Raw genomic sequence first — 12,111 nt, forward strand, 5'->3', positions numbered from 1 at the left:
CGGGCAGCCCTTTATAGCAGCATGAGAACAGACTAATACAAGCCCCAAAGAGGCAAACCCAGAGGAGTAACATTCCTGATCATTCCTTCATTCATTCATTCAGTTGTCCAGATGTTGCAGAAACAACAGTGAGCAAAACAAACCCAAATCCTGTTCTCACAGAGTTTACATCCATGAAAAAGGCAATTTATTGAGTAATTATAATCATTTCAGTGATAGGGCAGAGGCAGACAATAAAATAAGTAAAACGTGACAGATTTGATAGTCATAAGAGCTGTGATGAAAAATAAAGCAGGAAAGGATGATCAACAGTGTTGGGGGAGGATTGCACAGTTTTCACTAGTGGTCAGGGAAGACTTCACTGAGAAGATATGGTTTGAGTAAAGACAAGAGGTCAAGGATAAAATTGTGTGATTAACTAGGTGTAGTTTATCCCAGGAGGGGCTGACACCCTGAGGCCAGATCATACTTGGTGAGTTCTAGGAATGGGAAGAAGTTGCTGTAGCTAACGAGGTTTATGGGCATGTGTGTCTGGGGGTCAGGGAGTGTTGGTGGTGGTGTGCGATGAATGAAAAGTAAGGAAGGATCATGGAAGGCCTTGTGAACGTCATGTCATTGGCCTTTTCTCACAGTGAACGTTGGTGCTGTTAAAAGACTTTGAGCAGAAAGATATGATCAGACATTTTTATAAACATCATGTGGCTGTTGGGGTAAGAACTGGCTGTCAAGGGACATGACTAGAAGCAGAGAGTCCAGTGGGGACGCCCCTGCAGTACTGCAGGCAGGAACCCACGCTGGCCTGGCCCATGGTTGTGGTAGCAGAGGTGCTGAGAAAAGCAGCTGGATTCTGGATATGACATGAAGGTGTAGCCAACAAGATGCACAGCAACACTGGATGTGGAGGATGAAAGAAAAGAAGGAGTCAGGAATGACTCTGAGGTTTTTGGAATTAGCAGCAAGACGGATTAAGTTGCCGTAGCTGAGACAGCAAAGGATTGCAGGAGAAGCAGTTTAGGTTGGGGAGAGCAGGGTTGGAGAAGGTGGTATTTTATGGATGGCATTTAATGCCTTGAAACTAGATGAGACTGAAAGAGTGCAGATGGAGAGAAGAGGTCCAAGGACATTTAAAGGTTAATGATAAGGAGGAAGCAGCAACGGAGACTGAGAAGGAGTAGCCAGATGTCCTGGGAGCCCTGTGAGGGAGGAGGGAGTGGTTGGCTGTGTCTAGTGCAACACAAAAGTCACTGGTACCTGAAAGCAGCAGCTGAGAAGGGTGGTGGGAGCAATAGCTCCCTTTGACTGGGTCCAAGAGAAAAGAAAAAGAGAAATTGGAGGCAGTGGGCAAAGCAACTCTTATGAGGAAATGAGAAAAGTTAAAGTTAGGTGATAGCTAGAGGGATGAGTGGGGCCAAGGGTGGTTTTGCTTTTTTAAGACGGGGGAAATTATATATGTGTATGTGTGTGTGTGTGTGTGTGTGTGTGTGTGTGTGTGTGTATGTGTTAATGTGCCAGAAGGAAGACTCTAGTGGGAAGGCCATGGGAAATACAGGACAGAGAATTTCTGGAGTGGGTTACTAATGCACAAGTGGGCAGTCGACCCCTGCTAAGAGGTATGTTTATGAGGCAGTTGCAGGAGGGAAGCTGTGTTCTGAGGGTCAATGCAGGTGGGAGAGTAGAGGTGGAAGGGAGGCTCTGGAAGATGCCTTCTGGCTTCATCTGTTAAGTCACTGAACTTGGAGGCAAGGTTATCTCTGAGGATGAGACGGGCTAGGAGGTTAGAGAAGAGAGGGCTATGGAAAGTCACCTTGGAGAGGAGTGGGTGAGATTGCCAGGCAGCATTCAGCCCCCTGGAGACTAGGGACCGTGATAAGGAGTGAACCTAAAGAGTGATCAGTGGCACAGTTTGTGTGTTTTTGAGGCACTTTGAGCTGCACTAGTGCAGATTTAGAGTAGGGGAGAGAAACAGAGGTAATCTTTCAGGCTCTCTAATACCTGCTGGGGCCAGGGAGTGGCTTCTTGCCTCCCTATCTCAAGTTAGGGCAGAGGCTCCTTAGTTACCTGTGGCTGAGTAGGTCCTGACCCGCTGCCTTGGGTGGGCAGGAAAAAGGAGGAAGATTTCTCCCATGAGCCCAGGTAGGAGCCAGGAGCAGCGTCATGCCTGGAAGAGTCTTGGGTCCTGGTGTGGGTCTTTGGGACTATAAAGCAGCATCTCTTCTTGCCCAAGAGCGCCTTGTCAGCCACGGCTTTGACTGCTCATGCAGTGTCTTCTCTGAAGTCACTCCCATGTGTCAGGCTCACTTATTCTCATCGATTCTCTCATGGAAGTGAGGCCCCCTTGCCCCTTTCTCATTTTTCTCTCCCATGTACTTTCAGGTTTGTGGCCCGCAGGTGTCCAGGATGCAGGTGTAAATGGACAGTGTGGCGACATCCTCACCAACAAACGGTTCATGCTTGACATGCTGTATGCCCATAACAGGAAGTCTCCGGATGATGAGGAGAAGGGGGATGGGGAGGCTGGGAGGACCCAGCAGGAGGCAGAGGCGGTAGCCAGCCTTGCTACCAGGATATCCACCCTGCAGGCCAACTCTCAGACCCAGGATGAGAGTGTCAGGAGGGTGGATGTCGGCTGTTTGGACAATCGGGGCAGTGTGAAAGCATTTGCTGAGAAATTCAACAGTGGGGACCTGGGGAGAGGTTCCATCTCCCCTGATGCTGAGCCCAATGACAAGGTCCCAGAAACAGCGCCGGTGCAGCCGAAGACAGAGTCTGATTACATCTGGGACCAGCTCATGGCCAATCCAAGAGAGCTCAGAATCCAAGACATGGATTTCACTGACCTGGGGGAGGAGGATGACATTGATGTCCTAGATGTGGACCTGGGTCACAGGGAGGCCCCTGGGCCACCTCCCCCACCCCCACCCACCTTTCTGGGTTTGCCGCCCCCACCCCCTCCGCCCCTGTTGGACAGCATTCCTCCCCCTCCTGTCCCTGGTAATTTATTGGTTCCTCCTCCTCCAGTGTTCAACGCTCCTCAGGGCTTAGGGTGGTCCCAGGTACCCAGGGGTCAGCCCACATTCACTAAGAAAAAGAAGACCATCCGTTTGTTCTGGAATGAAGTTCGGCCTTTTGACTGGCCATGTAAAAACAACCGACGCTGCAGAGAATTCCTGTGGTCAAAACTGGAACCCATTAAGGTGGACACTTCCAGACTGGAGCACCTGTTTGAGTCTAAATCCAAGGAACTGTCTGTCTCAAAGGTACTGCTAGTCTTCAGCATGCTTCTTGATTGGAAGTTGGGTAGGGCTGAAGAGATTCGTTCTGTATAAAATACTATTTTGCATTGCTTTTGCTATTTGGTAAAAAGTCCATTGGTATGAAAATTTGATCTTTAATATAGTGTTCCTTCTGCCACATGCTAGGTGTAGGCTACATGAGTCAGAGACCCTTATTAGCTAACATGGTCACCAGCTTACTTATATTAGGCAAAGGAGCTTTCAAAGAACCAGATAGCCCTGAGGAAAAGACAAAAATGGTCAACTAAGGAATGTCAGCATAGCCCAATAGCAGATATTGATGTTAACTAGAGAAAGTGGACTTGCTGACTCACCAAACACGGGATATGCTTATTTAATCTTACCTTCATTGACTATGAGTGATAGTAGTAGTTTGAACTTTATCTGTAACCACCCAATAAGCTCAAAGGCAATAATCCAACTGACATTTCTTTGGCTTGGCCCTGATCAAGCCAGCATTCTGCAGCTATCTAGTTTTCCAGCAGCCGTATATTTGGCATCCTGTCAATATTACACATGCCTCTAGATTTAGTATTTTGGATAAATGTTTGAGAGTCCTATAGCCACTGCTGCTGTGATAGTAACAAAGATGTTATACCACTTTTATCAATGGAAACACTGTACATAAAGTTATTGGGCACCAAAGGTTAAGTCATGGTTAATTTACACTGATAAACTGCAAGATATGGGATCACAGATTTTATATCTAATTCCCTACATTAGTAGAGACTTCTTCGCCTATCTTAGCTGACTTTTAAAAACCCATTCTGGATATTTTCCAGTTTTAAAACAGGTTTAAGGTTATCTCCTCTTTTAAGGTATAAGGGGTAGGAGAAAGCACTTTGTAAAGCATAATTTAGAATAAACATGCAAGAGCTTATAATCATGAATTAATTTTAACTCCCTGCGTTGCTGCATGCATTTATCATCTTTTTGGGTGAGTATGAAACTGTCTGAGTCAGGTTTCCAGCAATGCCATTTGGGCACCAATTCTGTATCAAAATTACATGCAGGATCCTCAGAACAAGTGAGCCCTTCAGACGAGGAGCACAGTGACAGAGTTAGTGCCTGTCACTGCTGTGGGATGTTGACAGGCCAGCCAGGGGAGCTGTAGTTGATCAGCTTCCTTTCAAAATGTGCTGGGATTCTTAAGCTGCTTGCTGCCCTTCACTGATTGGTGTTTACCCCAGTGTGTGTTTCTCACTCACTCATGGCATGAGTCTAAATCATTTCCAGCCTCAGGAATCTCCTCAAGTCAAAATTAAAGCTTTCTCATTTACAAATCTACACCGTTAGGATCCAGTGTAAAAAATCATGCCCAATCAGTCCTGTCCTTCAGTTGAAAGTAGACCCAGCTTTTGTCCTCTCCAGAAAATAACACCTAAGAAAGGGTTGCCAGACACCCACTCTTGGTGTGTCTGTGTCCTGACTTTCTAGGACTGGTACCAAGTGGTGCCGAGCCATCCACATGCCCCGTTCCAATTCTTTTTTTTTTTTTTTTTTTGAGGCAGAGTCTTGCTCTGTCGCCCAGGATGGAGTGCAGTGGTGTGATCTTGGCTCACTGCAACCTCCACCTCCCGGGTTCAAGAGATTCTCCTGCCTCCGCCTCCTGAGTAGCTGGGATTACAGGTGCCCACTGCTACACCCAGCTAATTTTTGTATTTTTAGTAGAGATGGGGTTTCACCATGTTGGCCAGGCTGGTCTCAAACTCTCAACCTCAGGTGATCCACCTGCCTCAGCCTCCCCAAGTGCTAGGATTACAGGAGTGAGCCACTGCGCCTGGCCTCCCCCTTCCAATTCTTATAGGCAGCCTGACATTTAGGAGAAGACCAGCCACGATTAAGACAGCAGTCTGTGGTTGCTAGAAGTTACCCATGACCTGACTTGCTGACACCACCTTCCAACCTACTGACCTAATTGGACAGAATATTCCTCCTCCCCCTCCTTCTCCTCCTCCTCCTCCTTCTCTTCCTCCTTCTTCTTCTCCTCCTCCTTCTTCTCCTCCTGCTCCTTCTCCTCCTCCTCCTCTTCCTCCTCCTCTTCCTCCTCCTCTTCCTCCCCTCATTGCCCACTTGGCTGGCTGCACCTCTAGGCTTTTCGTGGTTCCCGATCAGGTTGCTGGGAAGAAGCTGCCCCTTGACTCAGTATTGGGAGGAATAAAATGGAGTAAAAGTATGGAGGTGAAGGCACTCCTAGCTTCATTTTTACAAGATTAAAAGTTTCCTCGAGAAGGCCCAAAATTAATGCTTCACCTACCTCCCTCCTTCTCTTGGTCCCACTGCAGCCAATTTGGTCCGTGATAATATTCTAGCCTCTTTTGTCTCAGCCCAAAGTTCCATGATTGCCTGAAGCAGGTAGTGACCTCTAGAACAATGTATTGCCTAGCTAATAGACAAATGTTTGCATAGTTTTTATCAAGTAGGAGCATAAGAGGAAAGTGGTATATTGGACGAAAAGTTTACCAAACTGATTCCAGAATGTTCTATAATGAGACCCAAAAACCCCTACCTTTGTCTTTGGGATAGGAAATGTGAACAGGAGCTACTTTACAAAATGTTACAAAAGGTAAGAATGCAAGTTAGGATTAAAACACGTCACTGTGTTTTGGCCATGATGGGTGGCTCATTCTGGTAATTCCAGCACTTTAGGAGGCCAAGGCAGGTAGATGGCTTGAGCTCAGGAGTTTGAGACCAGCCTGGACAACATGGTGAAACCCCATCTCTATAAAATGTACACACACGCACACAGCCAGGGATGGTAGTACATTCCTGTAGTCCCAGCTACTTGGGAGGCTGAGATGGGAAGATATCCTGAGCCTGAGAAGGTCAAGGTTGCATTGAGCTGTGATCATGCCACTGCACTCCAGTCTGGGTGACAGAGCAAGACTCTGTCTCAAAAAAGCAAAAAAACAACAAACCCCACATTACACTGGAGAGCTGAATCCATTTTGCATATGTTACCACTGTAGATATAACCAATTTCATTTCTGTTTCTAATCCTTGACTGTGGTTTTCATAAATCAAAATGTAAACAGCCACTTTGGGTTTCTGGCTCAGAAATTTTTAAATTAAGTACAATAAATAAAATGCAACAAAAGTAGAGTGAAATAGACTTCACAAGACAGCACAAAACAAAGAGAATTGGTTTTAGGTTTCATCAAAAAAAGTAACATTAGACCAGAGTTATTGGGCATGGCTGTGACTAAGCCACCCAAAAACAAAGATTCATGAGCCAGATCTAAGGCTGGGGTGACCACCTAATGAAAAAATGATAAGACTGAAAAGATGCGATTTTTAATTTTCTTTCAAAATAGTTTCTGGAATTGGATCAATTTTTCTCTATCAGCTGGAATTATATGGTATTTTAATAAGATGAATCATATTGTGTTTTATGGTAAAAGGTAGAAATCCTGTGCTAAATTTCATTATGTTCTGACTGCTGGTCTAAGATGTGGTGAGCCCCATAGGAGACAAAGTGACCCTAAGAAAGATGTCAGGGCAGAAAGCCCTGAGACTTCCTTGGGCTTGACATCACCCTGGGGAGCCCCAGGAAAGTGACTTCCCAACCCTTGTACCTAACCAGGGGCAGCAAAATCCCTCCTGTTCTCAAAGGGCAGCTTCTATGCCCCAAGTTACAGCCAGACCAAAACAGACATGGAGTGGAACTCAGTTTCCACTTTGGGGACCTGATGTTGTCTTACTCTCTTGCATTCATTAGGTTTGTCATAGGGAGGGAGCCCAGAATGTATCTGGAGAAGTTTATTTATCTTGAAGTTTCTAAATCTATTTGAACTAGTAACAGCAACTTTTAAATAAAAATTAGGTCAGGGTGAGCCTTGGCCTGGGTTATTTTTCTTATTTTTATTTCTTAGAGATAAGGTGTCACTCTGTCGCCCAGGCTGGAGTGCAGTGGCACAATGATAGCTCACTACGGCCTCAAACTCCTGGGCTCAAACGATCCTCCCACCTCAGCTTCCCAAGTATATTTTTAAAAGCTCCTCAGGGACTCTCAAGTACAACCAAGGTTATGAGCCACTGATTTCAGGTGAAAAATGAGGCGCTGAAGGAGCACTGTGTTCCCCACCACCACTCTCCACATTGACACCCCCTGACCCTTTTGATTTTCCTGAGAGGAGATAGAAATCCTCCTATGCTGTATTCAAGTTCAGGACATAATAAGTTATTTAACATTCCCCTCAGAAACCTGAATTCTACCTAGAAACTCTGAACACAGCTCTGGGACTTCAGCAGGGCTGAAGTGTGCCCAGACACTTCTGGTGTGTGCCTGCTGGTCCTATAGGATGTGGTGAATCGTATAGGAGAATAAAATGACCCCAGAGAAAGATGTCAGGGCCAAAAGCCCCTGGAGGGCATGGAGACTCCCTTCCTCTCTCCTGGGTCTCTGGATTAGGATAACAAATAAACTGAATTCATGCAGGAAGTCTGTTTAACAGTTGGCCTCTGCTCTAGACAACCCAAAGGGCAAATATGAGAAATTAATACTCTTTCCTTTAACAATAAGGCAAACCTTACCTGGCAAGAAATTTTATTTCTGACTAAGGATTCCTCAGCCTTTGCTTGGGCTTAGTTTTTTGTTTTTGTTTTTCATTTTAGGGTGTGTGTGTTGGTGGGTGTGTGGATGGGGGGCGGTTTGCCTTAATACTTTCCTATACATCTCCCCGTCTCCCTTGTTTCAAGACTTTAGGAAAATTCCATAGTTGTCACATCTTTGTGACATCTGTGTCATTGCATCCTTGTAACTGTCACTTTCTCAACGGACAGTTTTGAAAATATCCTGTGGCATCACTCTTTTGGCAGGGAGCGAGGAGGGATGATTTACCATTTCTAGAACTTCTGCCTCTCTGAGCCCGACCCAAGGTCTCCAACAGTGATGCAGAGAAGCATTTGCAAAGGTCTGTCGCCTTTCATGGAAGTGCTCTCAGACTCACCAGCACTCCCCAAACCTCCTGCAGCTCTCTTAATAAATCAAGTCCTCAGCCCAGTGTCTATTATCAATTGCAGCACCTTCTGGGGTGCATCCTCTGATACTAGTAAAATACTCTTTAAAAATGCAAAGGGGCAATATGATGTGGCAACATTTCAGGAAGCCTTAAGCTTAATGACTACTATTAACTATTTAAATTTTTCTTTCCACTTCTTTTCCTAACTGCAACCTGAATCCTCACTCTTCTTTTTCCAAAACGGAATGTCTCTGAGGGGGAAGTTAGGTCTTTTTCTTTCCCAGGATGCCTACTGAAACTAGGTTGTGGTCACTCTTGCATGATGGTCACTCTTTTCCAATAACCATTCCAAATCAAGTTTGAGTCTTTACTTGCAGATTCTTAAATACTTTTACTTGGAGGTTTAATTTGTTCTATCCGAAAGCCTGACTCGGGCATCTCCTCTGCATGGGCATTTTGCCATCTGTGTGCATCAAGGATTGGTGTCTCACCAAGGATCCACCTGGGTAGACTTGTGGCTCTGCAGTGCTTATATCCAGCCGAGCCTAAATATCTGGCTTAGCGGTTCTAGAAAATATTCCTATTACCATGTGTGACTTTCTGCCCCACGGAGTGGCTGAGTTTGCAGGCTCCTGCCTCCTGGGGCTGCTGGTTCTAGAAAGCGGACTCCCAACCCAGGTAGCTGCCCACCAGCTGAATCTGGGGCTGCCGAGAACAGGCACAGCTCTTCCCGAAGCTTTGGCAGTTGACAGTCGCTGCCTCCCCTTCTCAGGAATCCTGTGACTCTTCTAGCCTTGAGTGCTGTCTGTTTGAAGCCTCACCCTAGAGGGGCTCACCTGCATCTTCCTAGAAGCTGGACCCAGTCCCTGAGTTGCCTTAATGACCGCCCTCCTGCTCCCTTTGAGTTTCCTGCTCGCCTAGACAGCCTCTCTTTCCACAAAGGGTAACCTCTGCCTCTCCCTCATCTTGGCTGTGCACACCCCTGCTCCCTCTCCCTGCAGTGTTCTTAGCCAAGTCAAAAACAAAAACAAATAAAAGCCTTACATGGCATTCATCCTGAAGCTTTTCTCCGGAGACTGTCTTTCCTCCAGGGGAGAAGGGCTACTACGGGCATGTTGGAGGCTCCCGGTAGTTGGAGCTCCGAAGGAGGAGCTCTGCCGTGGGCGTTCAGCTTAACTAGGCTTTCTGGAACCAAAACAGAGCCTGGCTGCTTCCCAGGCTTCTCCCTACACCCTTAAAGAAGCAAGGTCCTCTCTTTCCTTGAGCACTTCTGGACATATTTGGGAAAGCAGCATGTTCAGAGATGGCCCTGCCATGGTTTCCCACACACTATCTCATGTCCGCCTTTTTGCTGACCACCCAAAGATAGTTGTTCCTGTTTTCACATCCAGCCAACCCCTAGTCTAGCATCCTGTACCTGGAGCCTGGGCTCAGGCACCTCCTTCCATCATCACTTCCTCCCTGAGAGTTCTTGGAACTTGCTGAGGAAGAGGGCAGAGCTTTGGCTAATTGTTCTTTTATCGACAAATTAAGACAAAAAACCCAATGTCCTGTTGCTCCAGAGCTGACCATGGGTGTTGGGGGCATCCTGGCCCTCCAGAGGTATGCATTTTTTGTTAGTCTGCATGGAAATGTTCCCACTTGAGAACCAGGCACCTAACAGCAGGCACTCAGGAATTACCTGTTTAAGGAAGTGGATTATATATCAAAGAGAGGCGATAAATATAGGGAAGCTTACACAGTCAATCAGAAAGAGACCATCAGGGACTGGGCTTGTTTCTCAGCCTCTTCTGTACCTGTGCAGGGTTCAGCATCATGGACCGTCACTGAGAATGTCTTGAGACTCCAGGCAGCAGGGTGGTATCATACCCAAGTCAGCAAGGGGATCTCCTGGCTGTGGTGTACTTGTGCCGTGCTGACACTTGGCCATTCCCACATCAGCCTGGGTTCCTGCTTTCCCCTGGCCTTTTCCCTTCCTGAGAAGGAACATGTCAGTCAATCCAGCCTGTCATAATGTTCACTCGCCATATCGGTTTGTTTGGCTTAAAGTTAGTTTTTCTGATTCCATATTAAAAATGGATCTTTTTATGTTAGATTCTGGGTCACTAATCTTAGTGTCTTTGTTAGAATGTCCTGGACCATTGTATAGAGCTTTTTCTGTACTATTATTCTATTCTGTTCTATTATTCCAACTATTCTAGGGCCAGTGCTATATAGCTGATAGCTGATTGGGTAGATATTATATCTAACTCTACATTTTAAGAACATGTTTGACACTTTCATACATATATTCTTTCATGTTCACTTTAGACATTTTTTTTTCTAACTCCAAAAACAAATCTTATGGGGATTTTGATAGGATTATGTATATGCAAAATAAAGGTAACATATCTATTGGACAGCCAATATATGTATTACTTTTATATATATTTTATATATGTAAATATACATGTTACATATATAAATATATATAATTAGATAAGAGATAACTACAGCACACTTATGATGTTGAAACTTCTTATCCAGGAACATGAGGTTTCTCATTTATCCAAGTCTTCTTTTATTACTCTCAAGAAAATGTTGTCATTTTCTTCAGGTAGAAGATACAAGAGGTTTTTTGCTTTGTTTCCTTGTTTGGGTATTTTTGGGGGTTGTCTGGTTTCTCATCAATTGCAGAACAACTTTCTGATTTCCTACTTAGAGGCATTGCTTCCTCTCCTGTTACTGATACCTGTCTGACCTCTGCCCCGTCACATCTCACTCCCTCTTTCTGGATGCCATCCCCTTCAAGAAAGGCATTTACATTTTCTAACCTTCACAAGGACCACTCTTTCTTCTCTGACCTCTGCTTTATATCCTCTTCCCATCATTGACCAATTTCCTTATTTTCAAATTTTAAACCATGGAAAACCACTGTGGCTTTCTGACCAAAGGAATGCACTAAGGAAAAGTGCCTCTTTTTTTTCTTTTCTTTTTTTTTGAGATGGAGTCTCACTCTGTCACCCAGGCTGGAGTGCAGTGGCGTAAACTCTGCTCACTGCAACCTCTGCCTCCTGGGTTCAAGTGATTCTCCTGCCTCAGCCTCCCGAGTAGCTGGGACTACAGGCACGTGCCACCATACCCAGCTAATTTTTGTATTTTTAGTAGAGACGGGGTTTCACTATGTTGGCCAGGATGGCCTCGATCTCTTGACCTCGTGATCTGCCCACCTCGGCCTCCCAAAGTGCTGGGATTACAGGCTTGAGCCACTGTGCCTGACCAGAAAAGTTCCTTTTAGCAAGAGTAGGATGGATGGATGGATGGGTTAGGGAGAGAAGAGATCAGAAGCAGGAGGCGAGTGCTGGGCTGCTCTGAGAAGTGGGGTTCTGGGTGGTCAGGCCTAGGGTGGAGAGGTGGGAATGGAGAAGTATGGATGGGGATGAGACGCTTTGGGAAGGAAGAGTGGACCACAGTTGCTCTGTCTTAGGACCATGTGGAGGACTAGTGAAGTTCACTATTGCTGACTTGAGGCTTTGGCTCAGAAGGACAATTCAAATGGATCAGAATAGATGACTGCCAATCCTTAGACATGGATATAGGCACAGAGAGCTCTGCCTTGCTCTTGTAAGTGCTGCTTTAGATTATTGTCAGAGGGAAGGAGAGAGTTGGACAGCCCTACCCAACCCACTCCCTCATCTTGGGCAGTACTAACCAGATGACACTTGAGTGTTTAGTAGCATCTGGTGGAGGTTTATTTTGATTATGAAGAACAGCACTTAAAGCACCTTTTTGCTAAAATCTAGAGCTTGCATAATTCCATTTCAGGTATTCCTTTAATGCTTATTCTTTCCTTCATGATATGGGTGGAAGTGCTCTGC

The 12,111-nt window shown here is 45.7% G+C and overlaps 1 protein-coding gene across 45 annotated transcripts in view; it reads left to right on the forward strand.

Annotated features, from left to right (window-relative positions):
• Nucleotides 1–12,111, forward strand: part of FHOD3 (formin homology 2 domain containing 3) — a 482,508-nt gene that overhangs the window by 417,746 nt on the left and 52,651 nt on the right. For all 45 annotated transcript variants that reach the window (XM_011526189.2, XM_011526190.3, XM_017026008.2 and 42 more), the window contains one exon: nucleotides 2,374–3,257. In XM_011526189.2, the coding sequence (XP_011524491.1) occupies nucleotides 2,374–3,257 (884 nt within the window). The remainder of the gene's footprint in view (nucleotides 1–2,373; nucleotides 3,258–12,111) is intronic.

This window comes from Homo sapiens, chromosome 18, assembly GCF_000001405.40.
Source record: "Homo sapiens chromosome 18, GRCh38.p14 Primary Assembly".
In the NCBI taxonomy this organism is placed as follows: domain Eukaryota; kingdom Metazoa; phylum Chordata; class Mammalia; order Primates; family Hominidae; genus Homo; species Homo sapiens.